The sequence below is a fragment of the Homo sapiens genome, chromosome 5 (genome assembly GCF_000001405.40).
Source record: "Homo sapiens chromosome 5, GRCh38.p14 Primary Assembly".
NCBI classification, from domain to species: Eukaryota; Metazoa; Chordata; class Mammalia; order Primates; family Hominidae; genus Homo; species Homo sapiens.
In genome coordinates, this window is record NC_000005.10 from 96,304,803 (window position 1) to 96,326,586 (window position 21,784).

General features: G+C 39.4%; 1 protein-coding gene and 1 long non-coding RNA gene across 13 annotated transcripts in view; both read left to right on the top strand.

Annotated features, from left to right (window-relative positions):
• The window catches only part of CAST (calpastatin), an 813,255-nt gene that overhangs the window by 343,374 nt on the left and 448,097 nt on the right, over nucleotides 1–21,784 (top strand). For 6 of the 12 annotated variants that reach the window (NR_186779.1, NM_001423250.1, NM_001423258.1 and 3 more), the window contains one exon: nucleotides 13,671–13,742. The exons of 5 other annotated variants lie outside the window; for them this stretch is intronic. The gene's annotated coding sequence lies outside the window, so the exon portion shown is untranslated. Of the gene's footprint in view, nucleotides 1–13,670; nucleotides 13,743–14,232; nucleotides 14,554–21,784 lie in introns of all 12 variants that reach the window. One more of the 12 variants, NM_001423251.1, reaches the window with a different exon arrangement.
• LOC101929710 (uncharacterized) overlaps nucleotides 1–21,784 on the top strand; it is a 669,085-nt gene that overhangs the window by 342,802 nt on the left and 304,499 nt on the right. The window contains exons 2-3 of the long non-coding RNA NR_130776.1: nucleotides 3,922–4,080; nucleotides 13,671–13,742. This is a non-coding gene — a long non-coding RNA (uncharacterized LOC101929710). The remainder of the gene's footprint in view (nucleotides 1–3,921; nucleotides 4,081–13,670; nucleotides 13,743–21,784) is intronic.

Sequence of the window (21,784 nt, forward strand, 5' to 3'; positions counted from 1 at the left end):
GTCTATATATCTGTTTTGGTACCAGTACCATGCTGTTTTGGTTACTGTAGCCTTGTAGTATAGTTTGAAGTCAGGTAGTATGATGCCTCCAGCTTTGTTCTTTTTGCTTCGGCTTTTCTTGGCTATGTGGGCTCTTTTTTGGTTCCATATAAAATTTAAAGTAGTCTTTTCCAATTCTGTGAAGAAAGTCAATGGTAGCTTGATGTGGATAGCATTGAATCTATAAATTACTTTGGGCAGTACGGCCATTTTCATGATATTGATTCTTCCTATCCATGAGCATGGAATGTTTTTCCATTTGTTTATGTCCTCTCTTATTTCGTTGAGTAGTGGTTTGTAGTTCTCCTTGAAGAGGTCCTTCACATCCCTTGTAAGTTGGATTCCTAGGTATTTTATTCTCTTTGTAGCAACTGTGAATGGGAGTTCACTCATGATTTGGATCTCTGTCTCTTGTCTATTATTGGTGTATAGGAATGCTTGTGATTTTTGCACATTGATTTTGTATCCTGAGACTTTGCTGAAGTTGCTTATCAGCGTAAGGAGATTTGGGGCTGAGACAATGGGGTTTTCTAAATATACAATCATGTCATCTGCAAACAAAGACAATTTGACTTTCTCTCTGCCTATTTGAATACGCTTTATTGCTTTCTCTTGCCTGATTGACCTGGCCAGGACTTCCAACGCTATGTTGAATAGGAGTGGTGAGAGAGGGCATCCTTGTCTTGTGCCGGTTTTCAAAGGGAGTGCTTCCTGGTTTTGCCCATTCAGTATAATATTGGCTCTGGGTTTGTTGTAAATAGCTCTTATTATTTTGAGATACCTTCCATCGATACCTAGTTTTTGGGAGTTTTTAGCATAAAAGGCTGTTGAATTTTGTCGAAGGCCTTTTCTGCATCTATTGAGATAATCCTGTGGTTTTTGTCATTGGTTCTGTTTATGTGATGGATTATGTTTATTGATTTGTGTATATTGAGCCAGCCTTGCATCCCAGGGATGAAGCTGACTTGATTGTGGTGGATAAGCTATTTGATGTGCTGCTAGATTTGGTTTGCCAGTATTTTATTGAGGATTTTCACATCAATGTTCATCAGGGATATTGGCCTGAAATTTTCTGTTTTTGTTGTTTCTCTGCCAGGTTTTGGTATCAGGATGATACTGGCCTCATAAAATGTGTGAAGGAGGAGTCCCTCTTTTTCTGTTGCTTGGAATACTTTCTGAAGTACCAGCTCCTCCTCGTACCTCTGTTAGAATTTGGCTGTGAATCCGTCTGTTCCTAGACTTTTTTTGGTTGGTGGGCTATTAATTGCTGTCTCAATTTCAGAACTTGTTATTGGTCTATTCAGGGATTCGACTTCTTCCTGGTTTAGTCTTGGGAGGGTATATGTTTTCAGGAATTTATCTATTTCTTCTAGATTTTCTAGTTTATTTGCATGGAGGTGTTTATAGTATTGTCTGATGGTAGTTTGTATTTCTTTGGGATCAGTGGTGATATTCCCTTTATCATTTTTATAGTGTCTATTTGATTTTTCTCTCTTTTCTTGTTTATTAGTCTGGCTAGTGGTCTATCTATTTTGTTAATCTTTTCAAAAAACCAACTCCTGGCCTCACTGACTTTTTTTGAAGGGTTTTTCATGTCTCTATCTCCTTCAGTTTTGCTCTGATCTTGGTTATTTCTTGTCTTCTGTTTGCTTTTGAGTTTGTTTGGTTTTGCTTCTCTGGTTCTTTTAATTGTGATGTTAAGGTGTTGATTTTAGATCTTTCCTGCTTTCCCTTATGTGCATTTAGTGCTGTAAATTTCCCTCTACACACTGCTTTAAATGTGTCCCAGAGATTCTGGTACATTGTGTCTTTGTTTTCAGTGGTTTCAAAGAACTTATTTATTTCTGACTTAATTTTATTATTTACACAGTAGTCATTCAAGAGCAGGTTGTTCAGTTTTTATGTAATTGTGTGGTTTTGAGTGAGTTTCTGAATACTGAGTTCCAATTTGATTGCCTGGTGGTCTGAGAGACTGTTTCTTATGATTTTGTATTCTTTTGCATTTGCTGAGGCGTGTTTTACTTTCAACTATGTGGTCAATTTTAGAATCAGTGCAATGTGGTGCTGAGAAGAATGTATATTCTGTTGGTTTGGCATGGAGAGTTCTGTAGATGTCTATTAGGTTGGCTTGTTCCAGAGCTGAGTTCAAGTCCTGGATATCTTTGTTAATTTTCTGTCTCCTTGATCTGTCTAATATTAACAGTGGGGTGTTAAAGTCTCCCACTATTATTGTGTGGGAGTCTAAGTCTCTTTGTAGGTCTTTTAGAAGTTGCTTTATGAATCTGGATGCTTCTGTATTGGTTGCATATATATTTAGGATAGTTAGCTTTTCTTGTTGCTTTGATCCCTTTACCATTATGTAATGCCCTTCTTTGTCTCTTTTGATCTTTGTTGGTTTAAATTCTGTTTCATCAGAGACTAGGATTGTGACCCCTGCTCTTTTTTTGCCTTCCATGTTCTCAGTCAATATTCAGCCCTCCCTTTATTTTGAGCCTATGTGTGTCTTTGCACATGAGATGGGTCTCCTGAATACAGCACACAGATGGGTCTTGACTCTTCAACAAGTTTGCTCATCTGTGTCTTTTAATTGGGGCATCTAGCCCATTTACATTTAAGGTTAATATTGTTATGTGTGCATTTGATCCTGTCATTATGATGCTAGCTGGTTATTTTGCCTGTTAGTTGATGCAGTTTCTTCATAGTGTCTATGGTCTTTACAATTTGGCATGTTTGTGCAGTGGCTGGTACTGGCTGTTTCTTTCCATGTTTAGTGCTTCCTTCAGGAGCTCTTGTAAGGCAGGCCTGGTGGTGACAAAATCTCCCAGCATTTACTTGTCCATAAAGGATTTTATTTCTCCTTCACTTATGAAGCTTGGTTTGGCTGGATATGAAATTCTGGGTTGAAAATTCTTTTCTTTAAGAATGTTGAATATTGGCCCCTACTCTATTCTGGCTTGTAGGGTTTCTCCCGAGAGATCCACTGCTAGTCTGATGGGCTTCCTTTTGTGGGTAACAAGACCTTTCTCTCTGACTGCCCTTAAAATTTTTTCCTTTATTTCAACCTTGATGAATCTGATGAGTATGTGTCTTGGGATTGCTCTTCTTGAAGAGTATCTTTGTGGTGTTCTCTGCATTTCCTGAATTTGAATGTTGGCCTGCCTTGCTAAGTTGGGGAAGTTCTCCTGGATAATATCCTGCAGAGTGTTTTCCAACTTGGTTCCATTCTCCCTGTCACTTTCAGGTACACCAATCAAACGTAGATTTGATCTTTTCACATAGAACCATATTTCTTGGAGGCTTTGTTCATTTCTTTTCACTCTTTTTTCTCTAATCTTATCTTCTCACTTTATTTCATTGAGTTGATCTTCAATCTCTGATAGCCTTTCTTCTGCTTGGTCAATTCGGCTATTGATACCTCTGCATACTTCATGAAGTTCTCGTGCTGTGTTTTTCAGCTTCATCAGGTCATTTATGTTCTTCTCTACACTGGTTATTCTAGTTAGCAATACATCTAACCTTTTTTCTGAGGTTTTTAGCTTCCTTGCATTGGGTTAGAACATGCTCCTTTAGCTCTGGGGAATTGTTATTACCCACCTTCTGAAGCCTACTTCTGTCAATTCATCAAACTCATTCTTTGTCCAGTTTTGTTCCCTTGCTGGAGAGGAGTTGTGATCCTTTGCGGGAGAGGAGGCGTTCTGGTTTTTGGAATTTTCAGCCTTTTTGCGCTGGTTTCTCCCCATCTTCATGGATTTGTCTACCTTTGATCTTTGATGTTGGTGACCTTTGGATGAGGTCTCTGATTGGAAGTCCTTTTTGTTGATGCTGATACTTTTCCTTCTGTTTGTTAGTTTTCCTTCTAACAGTCAGGCCTCTCTGCTGCAGGTCTGCTGGAGTTTGCTGGAGGTGCACTCCAGACCCTGTTTGCCTGGGTATCACTAGCGGACGCTGCAAAACAACAAAGATTGCTGCCTGTTCCTTCCTCTGGAAGCTTTGTCCCAGAGGGGCACTCACTAGATGCCAGGCAGAGTTCTCCTGTATGAGGTGAGTGTCGGCCCCTACTGAGAGGTGTTTCCCAGTCAGGATACACGGGGGTCAGGGACCCACTTGAGGAGGCAGTCTGTCCCTTATCATAGCTCGAACACTGTGCTAGGATGTCCACTGCTTTCTTCAGAGCTGTCAGGCAGGAATATTTAAGTCTGCTGAAGCTGTGCCCACAGCCACCCCTTCCCCCAGATGCTTTGTCCCAGGGAGATGGGGCTTTTATCTATAAGTCCCTGACTGGGGCTGCTGCCTTTGTTTCAGAGATGCACTGCCCAGAGAGGAGGAGTATAGAGAGACAGTCTGAGCTACCTTGCTGAGCTGCAGTGGGCTCCGCCCAGTTCGAACTTCTTGGCGGCTTTGTTTACAATGTGAGGGTAAAACCGCCTACTCAAGCCTCAGCAATGGTGGATACCCTTCTCCCCACCAAGCTTGAGTGGCCCAGTTCAAGCTCAGACTGCTGTGCTGGCAGTGAGAATTTCAAGCCAGTGGATCTTAGCTTGCTGGGCCCCATAGGGGTGGGACCTGCCAAGCCAGACCACTTGGCTCCCTGGCTTCAGCCCTCTTTCCAGGGGAGTGAACGATTCTGTATCACTAGCATTCCAGATGCCACTGGGGCATGAATAAAAATTCCTGCACCTAGTTCGGTGTCTGCCCAAATGGCCTCCTAGTTTTGTGCTTGAAACCCAGGGCCCTGGTGGCATAGGCACCGTAGGGAATCTCCTGGTCTGCTGGTTAGGAAGACCATGGAAAAAGCACAGTATCTGAGCCGGAGTGTACTGTTCCTCCCAGTACAGTCTCTCACAGCTTCCTTTGGGTAGGGGAGAGAATTCCCTGACCCCTTGTGCTTCTAGGGTAAGGTGATGCCCCACCCTGCTTCAGCTCACCTTCTGTGGGCTACACCCACTGTCCAACCAGTCCCATTGAGATGAACTGGGTACCTCAGTTTGAAATGCAGAAATCACCCGCCTTCTGCGTTGATCTTGCTGGGAGCTACAGACCGGAGCTGTTCCTATTCGGCCATCTTTTGGATGCCTTTTAATTCTTTCTCTTACTTTATTGGTCTGCAAGGACTTCCAAACTGTTGAATGTAAGTGGTGAGAGTGAGCATGCTTGTCTTGTACTAGATTCTAGAGGAAAGGGTTCCAGTTTTTCACCATTGAGTATAATGTTAGCCATGAGTTTCTTACATATCATCTTTACTGTGTTGAATTACTGTTATTCCATAGCTAATTTGTTGAGTGTTTTTATCATGAAAGAACATCATGAAAAATCTTGTCAAATGACTCCTTCATCTGATGACATGATTATATAATTTTCTGTCCCTCATTCTGTTAATGTAGTCTATCACATTTATTGGTTTGTGAGTGTTGAATCATCCTTACATCCCAGGAATAAGTCTCACTTGATCATGGTGTGTGATCCTTTTAATGTGTAGTTGAATTTTGTTTGCTGCTATTGTGATGAGGACTTTTGCACTGATGTTAATCAAAAATATTTTCTGGTAGCTTTCTTTTCTTATGATGTCTTTGTCTGGCTTTGGTATCAGAACCATGCTAGCCTCATAAATAGGTCTGAAAATATTCCTTCCTCTAATTTTTTGTAAAAGTTTGTGGAGAATTGACATTAGTTATTCTTTAAACGTTTGGTTAAATTCAGCAGTGAAGCAATCAGGTCTTAGGCTTTTTTTTTTTTAAATGGGAGACTATGGATTACTGACTTAATCTCTTAACTCATTATTGGTTTATTCAGATTTCCTATTTCTTTATGATTCAGTGTTTGGAGGTTGTATGTGTCTAGGAATTTAACCATTTCTTCTCAGTTATCTAATTTTTTGGCATATAATTGTTCTTTTGATCCTTTGTATTTTTGTAGTATCAGTCATAATATCTCCTCTTTCATTTCTGGTTTTGTTTATTTGAATCTTTTCTCTTTTTCTCTTGGTTAGTCTAGCCAAAGGTTTGTAAATTATGTCTTCTCAAAAAAAAAAAAGCCCCAACTTCTATTTGTGTTGATCTTTTGTATTGTATTTCTAACTTCTATTTTATTTATTTCTGCTCTGATATGTATTATTTCTTTCCTTTACATAACATTGAGATTACTTTGTTCTTCTTTTTCTATTTCCTTGGGGCACAACATTGTTGTTTTTTTGCTACCTTTCTTCTTTTATGATGTAGGCATTTATTGCTATGAAGTTTCCTCTTACAACTGCTTTTGCTGCATCCCATACATTTTTATATGTTGTGTCTCTATTTTTGTTTGTCTCAAGATGTTCTTAAATTTCTCTTTTAATTTCTTTGTTGATTCATTGGTTTTTCAGGAACATGTTGTTTCATTTCATATATTAATGAGTTTTCCTAGATTCCTTCTGTTATTAATTTCTTCTTTTATTGCGATCAGAAAGATACTTGATATGGTTTTAATCTTAAATTTGCTAAGACTTGTCTTGTGGCCTAACATATTACCTATCCTGGAGAGTGTTCTATGTGCACTTGAGAAAAATGTGTATTCTGTTGCTGTTGGATGGAATGTTCTGTATATGCCTGTTAGGTCATTTATTCTAAAGTGTTGTTCAAGTCCAATGTTTCCACATGTCCATTATGAAAAGTGTTGTATTGAAGTCTCATATTATTACTGTATTGCAATCTATATCTCTCTAAATAGTCTTAATATTTGTTTTATATATTTAGGTGTTCCACTGTTGGGTGCATATGCATATATATATTTATAATTGTTTAATCTTCTTGATGAAATCACCAGTTTATCATCACATAATATCCTTCTTTGTCTCTTTTTAGTTTTTAACTTAAAGTTTATTTTGTCTGACATAAGTATTGATATTCCTAGAAAACAAAAATTCTTTTTTTTTCTGTTTGCATGAAATATTTTTCCATCCCTCCACTTTCATCTAAGTATGTCCTTAAAAGTGAAGTGAATTTCTTATAGGCAGCATATAATTGGGTCTTGGTTTTGTTTATCCATTTATTCACTCTATGTCTTTTTATTGGATAATTTAATCCATTTACATTCAGGTAATTATTTATAGGTAAGGACTTATTATTACTGCAATTTTGTTAATTGTTTTCTGGTTGTTTTGTAGATACTTTGTTTCTTTTTTTCTCTCTTGCTGTCTTTCTTTGTGGCTTGATGGTTTTCTGTAGTAATATGTTTTGAATCTTTTTTTATTTTTGTTTTGTTTGTCTCCTACAGATTTTTGCTTTCTGGTTACCATGAGGCTTACACACAACATCTTATAACAGTTTATTTCAAGATGATAACAACTCAAATTTGATTGCACACAACAACCTTACACTTTTACTCTCCCATTGCTCCATTTTATGTTTTGGATGTCTGAATTTACAGCTAGATGAATTTTAAAGTTAATTTTCTCTACAGGCTCTCCTTTTATGAGTACCTGGTGTAAACTTAGTGCCAGATGTCCTCTAAGATACCTCAGATTTCACAGTAGAAAATTAGTCTAAGGGTTACCCCTGTGTTGTATTTCTTGAGACCCCCTGATTTTTTTCCTTCCCCTTTGACAAACATTTTATTGACTCAAATTAGCTATTCCTGAAAGAAGCACTCCCCTGTCTATTTAGGGAACACCTCAGGAATTTTACATCCCAACACCAAGGCTGTCAAAACAAGGAAGATAAGAAATGTGTTTTTGAGAGGTAAGGCTGACTGCCCTGGTGAATTAGTCTTGGTTTTGTGGTTTGAAACTACTTAGTGTTAGTAGTTTGAAACTATTTAGTGTTCTAAATAAGAAAGCAAAAACAGCTGGTGCAGACACAAACTAGTAAAAGCAATCTTTCCATATTTTCCCTTTGTAGTATTCAGAATTACTTCATAAAATGAAAAAGTGCTCAAAAACATAGTTACTTGCCTACATTGTGCTAATATGCCTAAGTGTTCTCTTTTTACTAGTTTAATCTACATTAGCTATAAGTTCAATCAGAGTTCCTCATCTAAACCATAAAACATAGAAAATAACTTAAGTGACCTTTTCCTCAGTTTTCTCAAAGATGGTACATAACTAGGACCTCTCTAGCTTCAGAGACGAGACATTTGTTCATTACATACTATGGATGTTGTAGTTATTAGGGCTTAATTCTCTCAAAACTGGCTGAAAATGGTTGATTGACGTTCAAGTCTACCACTGGATATATAGGATATAAATTATTGCCAACAAAAGGATAAAGATCAAAAGCCTTCAGTAGTGAAAATGGTCAAACCATAATCAAACAAAAAATCAAGATACTGCTTTCTTCAACTCAAGTTTTTTTCTGTCTTAGACATAAAAGTTTATTTTGTTTTAAGATATAATTTATATACAATAAAATTCACTGTGTTTATGTGTACAATTCAATGAATTTTGGCAAATTTATACAGTCAGGTAACAATCACCAAAATCAAGATATAGATTTATTTCCTCATGACCCTTTGTAGGAGTCAATCTGCCTCCTCCACTTCCAGACACTGGCAACCACTGATCAGATTTGTGTCTCATAGTTTTTTTCTTTTCCAAATATCATATAAATTGAATCATTCAATATGTATTCTTCTGAGTCTGGCTTCTTCCACTTAGCATAATGCTTCTTAGATTCATCCATGCTGTTGTGTGTATCAGTAGTTCTTTTTATTGCTATATAGATATAACAATTTATTCACCAGTTGATAGACATTTTGGGTTGTTTCCAACTTTAAGCATTTATGAATAAGATTACTTAAACATCCATATGCAGGTTTTTATGTGGACATAGGCTTTTAGTTCTCCAGGGTAAATACCTTCATGTAACCTTCACTTTATAAACTGCCAAACATTTTCCCAATGTGGAAATCCCACCAGCAATATATAAACATTCAAGTTGGTTTGCATTCTCTTCAGCATTTGGCACTGTCAGATTTTTTTTTTAATTTTGAGCCATTCCAATAGGTGTGTCATGATACCTCATTTTGTCTTTCAAGTTTTAATAATTAGGTTTATAAAATCAGTTATGAAAAACATCAAATAATTGAAGGTGTATCAGACATCAAAAAGATGTTTCTGCTGTTTTGTTATCATTGAGTCTTGGCTCTTCACCATGTTTTCCTGTCCATTTTGGACCACTGAACTATCATTAATCCTAAATTACAAGTATGCAGTACCCAAATATACATGGCTTCTGTATGCATAGGAACCTGCTTTCTAGCTTGTTTGGGACCTTGCTATCATAGGATTTCTAATGGAATTGTTAGAAGAGTTTTTGCTCATTTCTTCACACAGTGGGTCAGAGAAATATTTTGCTGATTATCTCTAAAACTGAAAACTTGTAAATTATTTTCTGTAATTTTCCAAGCCAGTCTCATGTAGAAAATTGACTTTTGCCATAGTGAGAGGAGAATTAAAGTTGTGGGAGCTACAGCACCAATTTTCTTTTCATCCTTGCTGAAGTTGGGCATCTTTCCTGTTGCCTTTATTTTGATTATTTGTTGGGCCTTGTGATCACTTGCTTTTGTTAGGCTTCCTCTTGCTGTTGCTAAATGTTGGGATGAATTAGGAACCTCATCCTTTCTATGTATTTGTAGCATAGGTGAAGCTGAGCAAATGGGGCTCCAGTGCCTCTTCTCCAGCTTTGACTAGACCAAGAGCCTTCTCTGCTACACAAACATGGCAGGATCCTTCATGACTGTTCATTTGTACAAGTTTGTTTATTTGTTTTTGTTTTCTGCTGAGAATGACTTTGGCTTCCTTTTCTGCCTGGGTAATTCTTACTTGTTCTTCAAGATCAGACCAAATATTACCTCCTTTATGATGTCAAATTCCCTAAGCCTTTTAAGTCATACCTGCTGAACCCTTTTCTTGTTTTAAGTCCTATTACGTTGCTCTGTGATAACCTGTTCACATTTCTGTATCCTTCCTAGACGCTGAACTCCTCCCAGTCAAGAAGCACATGCTGATCGTTACTGACTTAACATAAAGTACACACTCAATAAATACTTTTGACTGACCCTTTAAATTTGCAATATAGCTACATTTAAATGCAGAGGTTTTCTTTAACTTCAAAAAGGAATGATAGAAGCATTTGCTAAACAAGAAAGTTTATTTAGTAGAAGCCATTTATATATTAATATATTTAGGCAAAGTGGTGATCATAAGATTTGATTGATCTCAGGACTGGATTCCTCTCACCCTCACGCAATCAGTGTGATTATAAACCACATGTTATGGGAAAGAAAAGTCAAAGAATTAAAATAATTCTGTGACTCTTGTCTCCATTGTTAAACTGTGATACGGGTATAAGTAATTGCTTTAATCATGTCAGCAAAATATTAGGACTGTGGGATTAAACAATTGTTTAGTATAAGTATGTCCCATGCAATATTTGAGACATTCTTATAATAATAAAAAAGTTTGTTGTTTATCTGAAGTTCAAGTTTAACTACATACACCTTCTTTTATATGACAACCGTAGCCAAAGGGAAACCTCTGCACTTCACAGAGTGGAAGGACTGATAGGGAATACAGACAGTGCTCTTGGAAGCCAGTTCAGAAATGTATAGTGAACAATGTGAGGCCATGATTCCTTAGACTGGTCAGTATATGTCAACTCAGCAGCATGATCATCTTTGCCAGGGTAGAGAGCAAGACCAGAAACTGAGATCAGAAAGAGAAGTGGGAGTGGTGAAGTCACTGACCATATGGTCATTTGGGTCAAAGATGGCACCATTTAAAGGTCTGTAACTATGGTAGATTAAAGATAGCCACAAATTCTTTGCTACTATTTTTGGTAGAGGTCTATTGCCTTCCCTTTGAATGTGGATGGGCTCTGTAACTGCTTTGACCAATGGAATAATAGCAGAAGTGACACTGTGCCAGTTTTCTGAGCCCAGGCCCTAAATATCTGTAGGTTTTCACTTTCTGTTTCTTAGAACACTATTTTTGAGATCTCTGAGCCTCCATATAAGAAGTCCAGCTTTCCTGAGATGGCCATGCTGGAGTAGTCACATGTAGGCACTTTGGGTTGACAGATCCAGCTGAGCCCAGACTTCCTGCTGTCACCATCAAGTGACATGAGAGAGAAGCTGTTGTGGACCATTCAGACCACCTAAGGGTTGAGTACCCCCAAGTGAACTCCTTCAAGCCACGCAGAGAAAAACAAAACCCACCCAGCTGAGCCTGAGCCTTCTCTGAATTTCTGACCCATGACATCTGGAGATATAATTAAATGCTTGTCTGTTTAAGCTGCCAATTTTTGTATGGCTTTGTAACATAGTAATAGGTAACCAGAATAGTGAATATAAACAGAAGTTTCCCTGACCACATGGTGACTTAAGAAAGAAGTACTTGCCATCATTTTAGTATGTAAACTTCTCCATTTGCTTGTTTGCCAAGAAAATCTTGCTTAGAAAGAAATCTTACCTAGAATGCAATATATAATAGAGCTCAAAGTCAAGCTGCCTGAGCTGAAGCATAGCTAGGAGTCCAGAGTCACATCTTCTCTGTCCTCTTGTCCTAAACTCCCCAGATGCCAGGAGATGTTCTGTAGCCCAGCTGAGAAAGATTGTGAGGTATGTCTGAGACCTAATCTAAGAGGCAGGGGAACCACAATAAGATGTGCAAACCTGGGACTAGATGCAGAGAATGTTACCATGGGAAGCACGGCAAAACTGTCAGCATCAGATAAAGCCCTGCTTAAATGTGCAGAGGAGATCAAAAAGTCAGGTTGAAAGCACCAACAGCTGAACATGTTGTAACAAAGAAACTTTCTAAAGGTAGAGGGGAACCGTGAGAGAATGCAGCCAGAATCTGAGAACCCCCACAGAGAGTGTCATCAGGAATCCCAAAGGATAATGATGCAAGAAGAGGACTCTGACCTAAGCCACCCAGGGCCAAAAGACTATACTAATTCCTTTGAGAGGAAAGATGAAATAAGACCACACCTGGGTTATATATGCTGTAATTACTGATATTTATCTAACTTAATTGCCAAGTAAATCTGTTTCTAGTTTTACTCTGGCTCTTCTCAAATTAAGTCTTTTGTTTTCCGAATATTACACATAAGATCTCTGTGTAGATAATGTTGAATGGAATGTTGAACTGGGAATGGTTGGCCTTAAAAGATTATCTAGTTATGTTCTTGGTACCTAAAGAGAGACTAGGTTTGAGTGAGCAAGGCCTCTGTATAAAAGATACTAGTTAGATAACATACACCGAAGGAGATACTTGTCCAGCTTGAACATTACCACACACATTTGACATTTCAGAAAACTACTGGTTTATTTAAAGCAAGTCACACGTACATTATAAAGGTGTCATCCTGGCCAGGTGTGGTGGCTCATGCCTGTAATCCTAGCACTTTGGGAGGCCAAGGCAGGTGGATCACTTGAGCCCAGGAGTTTGAGACCAGCCTGGGCAACATGGTGAAACTGTGTCTGTACCAAAAATACAAAAAAAAAAAAAAAAAATTAGCTGGGCATGGTGGTGCACTCCTGTAGTCCCAACTACTAGGGAGGCTGAGGCAGGAGAATCGCTTGAGCCCAGGAGGCAGAGGTTGCAGTGAGCTGAGATCATGCCACTGCATTCAAGCCTGGGCAACAGAGTGAGACTCCATCTCAAAAAAAAAAAAAAAAAAAAAAAAAGAATGGTGTCATCCTATTTTAGAATGAAAACCTTAAAACCTAGCATATTTTGTTCTGTATATACTTGAAAAATAATTTTATCTGATGAATATGTATGATGATCATAATAATTATTTAGTCATATTACATGAACCCTTCTTCCAAGGAAGTGCAAAGCTTTTAAACAAGCCACTTCTAAAAACTGTCACATCCTATTGCATGCAGCAACAATCAGAGAAGCCCTGACTTGGCATTTTAGTATATTAATAGGCTGAGTGAATTCCTAGCTTAACTGAGGTGGGCCCCTTGGAGGATCTTATGGGTGTTTTTTTAGGAAACAAACCAAACATATAAAGGTTTGGTAACATCTGCACCCTGATATTATTCTCAATATGCATCCACAGACTACAAAGCTAAAGCTCCTTCAGAGCCAATAATGCTGCATCCTGGAAAGCAGATCAGCAAATAGCTCAAATTTATTCCCAATCCATAATGCTGACCACACAACAACAGAAAAACAGCTATGATAATGCTATCATGGCGTGGTCAGTTGTTGTAACAATAGCTCAATGGCTTGATAGCCTGAGCAGTAAAATATCTAGGCATCTGAACTTAAAAAAAAATCACAGCAATTTGTAGTGAGAGCAGCAAAAACATATTTGTAACCATAAGACGCTGATTCATTTTCTTGCCTGTTAACCTTCCTACTGGAGCAATTGCTCCCCTGGCTGGATTGCTGGATGATGAAGTGATCAATTTCTGGACACCCAGCAAGTTGCTATGTATTTGAAACTCTCCAGTGCTGGAGTAGGCAATTATTTTCACTTCCAGCTCAGCCTGGTATGTTTAACCGAACTCAAAGAACCTTCTATGGGAAGTGAATGCTTTTTGCCGATGTATTGGCACACACATTTCAGAGATAATGGTGATAGCTCCACAAGTTTTCAGGAACTGTGTTTCTGGACTGATTAATTTTATTCTTGCTCCCACAGCTTTTGGTTCCAGAGGGCCATAGTCTTCATATACTTCAGCACTCCATGAAGGCTTTCTTGGTACTGTTCAAAGTAAGATATAACAAGTTGCTGTGTTGCATACATCTTTACACCTTCATTGCTTGTTCTCCCAGGCATGCTATCATACCCAAGGCCACATGGTGAGATGGAAAGACACTGCATCTGAAGTCAAGGGACCAAGGTTTCAAATTCTCAATGTCCCCCTTGCATGATGGGCAACTGACATATCACTCCGCACTTTGCTTGTTGATTTCTTCATTGAGTGACAGTAAAATGGTTGAGTCTGTTCCCAGCTGTCAGACTGCCAGGAATATCTAGTAGTTTGGTTTCCTCTTCTGGAAAATGACATTAGTAGTTAATGCTACAGTGTTTACTTTGTGCCAGGCCATTTCCTAAGTACTTTACATATATATTTACTCTTTTAAGTCTCATGACAACCCTATGAGGTAGTGTGTTAGTACATTTTGCATTGCTATAAAGGAATACCTAAGACTGGGTAATTTATAAAGAAAAGACATTTATTTGGCTCATGGTTCTGCAGGCTGTAGAAGCATGGCACCAGCATCTGTTTGACTTCTTATGAGGCCTCAGGAAGCTTATAATTATGGCAGAAGGTGAAGGGGAAGCAGGCATGTCACATGGCAAGAGAGGGAGCAAGAGAGATGCCAGGCTCTGTTAAACAACTAACTCTCATGTGAACTAACAGAGTGAGAAATCACTCATTACTTCAAGAACAGCACCAAGACATTCACAAGGAATCTGCCTCCGTGACCAAAACACCTCCCACCAAGCTCCATCTGCAACATTGGGGATCACATTTCAACATGAGACTGGGAGGGGATGCACATCCAAACCATATCAGGTAAATGCTATTATTCTCATTTTGCAGATGATGAAAATGAAACACAGAAAAATAAACTTGTCCAAGCTTGTACAGTTGATAAGAAACAACTTTGAACCCAGGGATTTGAACCCAGGCAATCTGCTCCATAATCTATGCTACACTACCTTCCCCATGGGTTGTTATATAGGTTAGTTGTGCTATCAATGAAATGTGAATAGTAAGACCAATCCTACAGACTTCACAGGCGTGCTCTGTGTATCACAGTCACAATAGATGTGAAAACAATGTGAGATGAGCTGAAAGTGCTTTAGAAACCATAATGTATTGTTACCTTCTCTTCAAAGTTACCAGTAAGCAACCTCACTTTTGGGTTCTAGAACTTCCAGATGATATTAGGTGATAGAAAACGGAATCACTATTTAGTTATTTGAGAAAGTCCATGCCAGGTGCTCTAAAGTGAGTGTCTGCTGTCCAAGTCAGGTGTCTGAACCTAGAAAAAGGCCAGATAAAATTTCCATCAATGAGCAGTGAGAAGTCCAGGGCCAGCCGGGTGGTTTTTAATTAATGATACCAGTGAGGAGCCTAGTTAGATATGAAGAGGTGTCAACACCTTTCCTCACTACTAGGCATAGCAAAGATCCCAAAAGGAAGTAGTGAGGAAAGGTGTTGACACCCCTTCATATCTAACCAGGCTCCTCATAGCAGAGATCTGTTGAATCCCTGTGTCGCCCTGCTGAAAAACAAATGTTTCTGGAGCCTTCACATTTCATGCCCTGGTGAAACATGAGGGCTCTGCAGTAACTACTCCTCCTAAGAAAGTTACAGCATTCAAAGCAGCTGAGACTGACAGCTCATTAAAAAGGCTGTGGCCTCTTTTGGAAAGGCTTTTGCTTTTTTTTTTTTTTTTTTTTTTTTTTGAGATGGAATTTTTGCCCAGGTTCCCAGACTGGAGTGCAATGGCATGATCTCAGCTCACTGCAACCTCTGCCTCCTGGGTTCGAGCAATTCTCCTGCCTAAGCCTCCCGAGTAGCTGGGATTATAGGCGCCTGCCACCACACCCGGCCAATTTTTGTATTTTTAGTAGAGATGGGGTTTCACCATGTTGGCCAGGCTGGTCTTGAGCTCCTGACCTCAGGTGATCCGCCCGCCTCAGCCTCCCAAAGTGTTGGGATTACAGGCGTGAGTCACCGTGCCCGGTCGGCTTTTGCTTGATTTCCTCTGAGCAGCACTGGGGCTCCTGGATTAAATCTGACTTAAAGGAAGAGAAAATCAAGTTGGCATTAACATAAACAAAACCTGAATATAGGCTAAATTCAAGATTGAATAAGAAAAACACATTTAACTTGCTGCTCCTCATCACTCACTGCATGTTTTTCCTAGTTGTACAATAGACAGTCCCTTGCCCCTGAAAAACTATTTAACCTCATAGAATTGCAGAATAGTTCAAGTGGCCATGTTTCCTTTGAACAATTTCTCTTGCAGGCTAGGGGGATGCAGTTGGGTGTCTGCCATCTAAGACTTAAAACAGAGGTGGCACACCAGCAGCCTGCAGTCTGAATCTGATAGTCCCCCTTCCCCCAGAAATTTAATATGTTAAAATAATTGGTGAGTCGTCGCCATGATTCAGAAGTCAGATGAGTTCCTACAAAATCTAGATTGATGACAGGAGGAAATGGAGGATTGCAGCAGCAGGTCCTCATCCTTACATGGGCACAGCCTGGTAAAGGTGAGAGTGCTTATCTCTCCAGGTTACCTACCTGTTTCATCACTCAGCTATCTGCCTAGCCATTATATTCATAGAGCTCCACCTCGGCCCTAGTGACATTTGGGACCAGATAATTTTTTGTGGTGGAGACTGTCCTGTGCGTTATAGGATGTTTAAAAGCAGCCCTGGCCTCCACTTTCTAGATGCCAGTAACATCCTCCCACTCCTCAGCCTCTTACACCCCAACCCCACTCCAACTGTGACAACCAAAAATGTCTCCAGACATTGACTGGTGTCTCCTGCCTGAGGCAGTGAGAATGGCTTCTGGTTGATAACCACTTTGTTAGAGCCTGCAAACTCATAAAACAGTATTGCATATTCTGACACATTAATACTGCTGCCTTCTTAGGCTCAAAGTGTCATAGTGATGAATAATTGGCAAAGTGTGTCTGGATGGTTGTCTTGAAATTTCTGACCAGACTGGAATGTTCTTTTCTTCTAAAAGAGCATTCTTATAATCATGGTCCAAGATTATTGGGCCATTAATTGGCTCTTGAAGGAATTTTACAAGTCACCAGTGTCCTCATTTTATAGGTAAGAAAACTGAGTCCCAAGGAGGCAAATTGCCCAAGATCACATAACTGGCTAGTGACAGAGCTTGAACTGGAAGCTAGATTTGAATTCTTAGCTTGTTACTCTTTCCACATTATAAAACGTTTGAGTTATAAAGAAAAATGTAAGCATGACATACAGATGTCCTGGTGAGTATATTTAACTCTATTTATCATGGCTGCTCTTCTAGGTGACTTCAGGTCCATTGTTATTATTTCTGTATAATGCCATGCTATGGTATCTCCCTTCTCCAAGTAAACTGCTTTGTTAAACAAAATGACACAAACCCAACAAGAGCTTTATTCACTGATTACCTATCTGGATGTCTTAGGTTAAATACTTGGGATTTAAATAATTAATCACAAACTACAATCCTTTCAAACTGTCTATTGCCAAAATAATTCTTCTACTCCTTGGGGCCTGAAAGAATGGGTTCCCTTTGATGTGCAGTATCCATAGAAGGGAGTCTATTTTATCTGGTGTGCCCAATTTATTTGGTGGTCTACTCTTGGAATTTACATCACTGCTTAACTTGGGAAACAAGAATACAAGTAGAACCTCAGAGTTGGGAATTGTGATTCTTCAGCTACATTTTGGGAGGCTGCTTGGTTGGCCCTGAGGGTGCTACAGAGGCTGGTACGCTGTGTAAGGAATCCCAGAGAAGAGAGCCTTGCCAGAGGTGAGGAAAGTGCTACGGTCATTTGTAGGGACACCAACAATGAACTTTACCTCCTGCCTCACAGCCTGCCCATCATCCCTCTCCAACCGGGAGCCACAGCCCTTATCTATTTACACCTGCTTGACAAGCTGCCTGTCACTGAATGACTCTTGTTTTCCCCTTTGAAAATGCCTTGCTGTTCATTCTTATGCAGCTTTTCTGGTGCCTAGGTGCTTGTGGAGAAGAGAGAACATGCCATCTGAGACCCTTGGGAAGGGCCCAGCAATTAGATGTTTCAGGCCTTCCCATCCACCCAAATGTGCAGGAGCTTCTGGCCCAGAGGAGAACAAGGGGACAGGGGCAGAAACTTTGAAAGAGACCCCATTGTTTGCTTTTTTGTTTCTCTCAGTTGCGTGTTTTCCTGCCGCAGCTTCTGATATCTTTATATTCAAGTTCTAAATAACCCCACATTGCCTCAACATATCAGAAAATTACTAGATTTTGTAAAATGCTTTCCCCCAACTCCACTACTACACTGATGATGGTAGAAACCAGAGGTAGCTGCTTTCTTCACCCTTACATTGCATTCTCCCAGTATGGTGGGCTTATAAGGAGGAGAAAGGGACTCTTCCCTTACTTCTGCCATTATTCTTCCCACATGTTGCTTTTGTTTTGTTCTGGGTGAGTATACGGTGGCATGAAGGCTTTTGTCCCCTCCCTGCTTAACCTGCCTACCTTGCTTTTTGGCCTGAGGAAAATTGACTTTTGCAACTCTCTGCTCTGACCCTTCAGTTCCATTTGTGTAAACTTCAGCCTAGAAACTTCAGTCGATGTTCAGGTATTGAAGCCTTTTGGAGAAGTGGGAGGTAAATTGAGGTCCCAGCAAGCAGCTGTCTGTTCTGTCACTTGTCTCTGTGTACATAACACATTTGGTGCCTTTTTTCAAAGATGTTTTTACCTAACCACCAGAGTGTCTGATTAGCAAGGACAATTCCTAGTTTAACAAGTTACAGGGATTTTTAAGCTTTGGTTTCCAGAGAACATTGTCACTGAGGGGATTGAGCTTTGAGGTGAATGCTTTATGTTGTTTCTTATGACAAGGGGTATTTTGTCAATAGTTGTAGCTAGACCTCCTGTAACCATAAATTATCTGGTTACAAGTATCGGGAGCTGCAAAGAAAAATAAACCATAGTCCCTTGCTTTATTTTTCATTGCTATTTTCAGGTGCATGACTTAAGAAAATGGGACAATTCCTTCCATATTTTTCTTTTTAATTTTTTTCTTTAAAGTCAGGAGCTTTGATGCTTGTTGGTATCTAGTCAATAGCAATAGCCAAAAATGACCACTTATTGTTCTGGCCCAAGTGTTCATTTTTAGTTTTTAAGGGTTGTCATTGTTAAGGACCTGTGTTTATAATTCAAATTTCAGAGCTACAGGGAACCATAGAGGCTATACAGTTCAATCATCTCATTTTATAAATGAAGAAACCAGGGGCCCTGAAGAGAAGTGCTTCCTTCCGGTTAACACAGCTCATCTCTGGCAGAGGTGGAGGTAGAACTGGGTCCTTCCCTCTAGACCACGTGCTCTTTTCCATGAACAGTGCAGTTCTCCTTTACCTTCTCCTTGCCTATTTCTGACCTTCTTTCTTCTTTCCTTCTCCCTGCCTATTTCTGTCCTTCTTTCTGGCCTCTCTAAAATGTTATAGGACATGAAATTCCAAAAATCCTGTTAATTAGAGTTTTATTTTTTAGCAGATGGCCTTCAGATACTAACCCTGACTGCCTTAAAAAATAGCCCATATCTTATTGATAGAAATTCTCCAAGCTGATCTTTATTTAATTCACCATTCCCTAGGACCCTTATCCTTTCCAGCTGGTTATTAATTATCAGGCAATATCCTCTTGAGCTGTCTCCATTTCTTAATTACCTTATTAATTGTAATCACATAAATTGATCTCTCTGACATTCTAAGTCTGACTCACTGAGGAAATACGTCTAATATTCACAAGAGACTCCAACAATCTTACTACCTTAACTTATTATTTCCATTATGTAGAATGGTATCACTAGAAGCCAGATGTGACTGCTTAGCTGAACTGGCCTTTATCCTAATCGTAATTAGAATGTCCTTTAACAATTCTCCCTTAGCCTTTCTTGCCTACTTAGACACACATGAGACATATCAGTTCATTTCCTCCCTACCTTCACTCTTTAGTCTTTAAAATAGAAGGAATGTTCCTCCTCATTTCATCTTGTGGTAATTCTTTATTTGTAATTCAAGGCATTTATGAGGAGAAAACATTAATATGAATGTATTTTAGTTTTTCAAGGTTTTTATTGTAACACTGCACCCTAAGGACCTGATACCCAATTAAACATTTTAAAAAATGGTCAAGCTTTTATATACAAAAATAGTCTCTTAATGTGTGTTATTTGAGAACTCATTTTTTTTTTCTTCATGACAAGGTACACTACTATAACCCTTACCTTTTTCCCCAGGTTCCACTTAAGTTTTATGAAGTGACAAGAGTAAACAGGTTCTTATATATAAGTTGGTCATTGTTCCATATGATCCTTTCTATATTTGTATAAGAAATGGTTGATTGGTTGCCAGGCACAGTGACTCATGCCTGTAATCCCAAACCTTTGGGATGCCGAAGTGGGTGAATCACTTGAGCTCAGGAGTTCAAGACTAGCCTTGCCAACATGGTGAAACCTCGTCTCTACTAAAAATACAAAAATTAGCTGGGTATGGTGGTGAGCACCTGTAATCTCAGTTACCTGAGAAGCTGAGGTGGGAGAATTCTTGGGCCCGGGAGGTAGAGGTTGCGGTTACCTGAGATCACACCACTCCACTCCAGACTGGGTGACAGAGTGAGAGCCTGTCTCAAAAATAAAATAAAATAAAATGGTTGATTGGTAGGAAACTAAAGCTGAAGACTAGAATCTCTATTAAAAAAGAGAGTTAGAGAATTCCTATGCATGCTTATTTGCAGGCATATAAATAAATTTGGGATGTAAAATCAGCTCCAAGCAATCAATCAATCTTTCTTTCTTTTCTTTCTTCTTTCTTTCTTTCTTTCTTTTCTTTCTTTCTCTCTTTCTTTCCTTCTTTCTTTTCTTTCTTCCTTTTTCTTTCTTTTATTTTTTTATTTATTTATTTTATTTATTTATTTATTTTTTGAGACGGAGACTCGCTCTGTTGCCCAGGCTGGAGTGCAGTGGTGTGATCTGAGCTCACTGAAATCTCCACCTCCCAGGCTCAAGCCATCCTCCCACTTCAGCCTCCCAAGTAGCTGGGACTACAGGTGCATGCTACCACGTCCGGCTAAGTTTTGTATTTTTTGTGGAGACAGGGCTTCACCATGTTGTCCAGGCTGGTCTCAAACTCCTAAGCTCAAATAATCTGCCTGTCTTGGCTTCCCGAGGTGCTCGGATTACAGATGTGAGCCACCGCACCCAGCCTCCGATCTCTTAGAAAGAAGCAATATAAATTAACAATGCCAATGTCTTTCATGGTGAGGAAAATGGCACAAATGGGTAGATGGCACCAATGGGTAGATTTCTGTTTTGGCTGGGTATACAAAGACCCAACTTGGCGATCCACATGATACATTAAGTCTCTCCACATATCTAAGGGTCTGCAGAACATTCACCAACGGTGTGCTACAGATACCATCTCAAACTATTCCCAACGGAATACCTTGTCTTTTCACCCAACTTGCTCGTTCAGTCATCCAACCAAACCAAGAACTTGGATATCATCCACATGACTTTTCCCCACCCCCTATTACCTGCCAAACTGTCTCATCTAATCAGTCATTAAGTTAACTTATGTTGATTTGGTTCCCTTATTACCTTTCCTCTTTAACCCATTTCTTCTGGTGCTGCTGCTTTGCTGAGTTCCTAGTCCACCCTTTCCCAATCTATTGTGGTAATCTCCCTTCTGATTTCAATGGCATATCATCTCACGTTGAATGACCTACAAGGTCCTCCATGACAAGCCTCATTAGTCTAATGTCTCTACTACCCTTACTCTCATCCTAAACTTTAGCGATGTTGAACTATTCACAGGTCCCCATTACATGTGTTTTTATATCCCATGGCTTTGAATGTTCTCCTCTTCTTTTCTTGGAGTATCATTCCCACATAATTTTATCTGTCAAACTCCTATTCCTACTTTAAGACCCAGCTCAAGCATCTTTTTCTAGAAAGCTTTTTTGGAACCCCAAACTGTTGATCATTCTCTTCACTGGGCCCCCTCTTTAATTT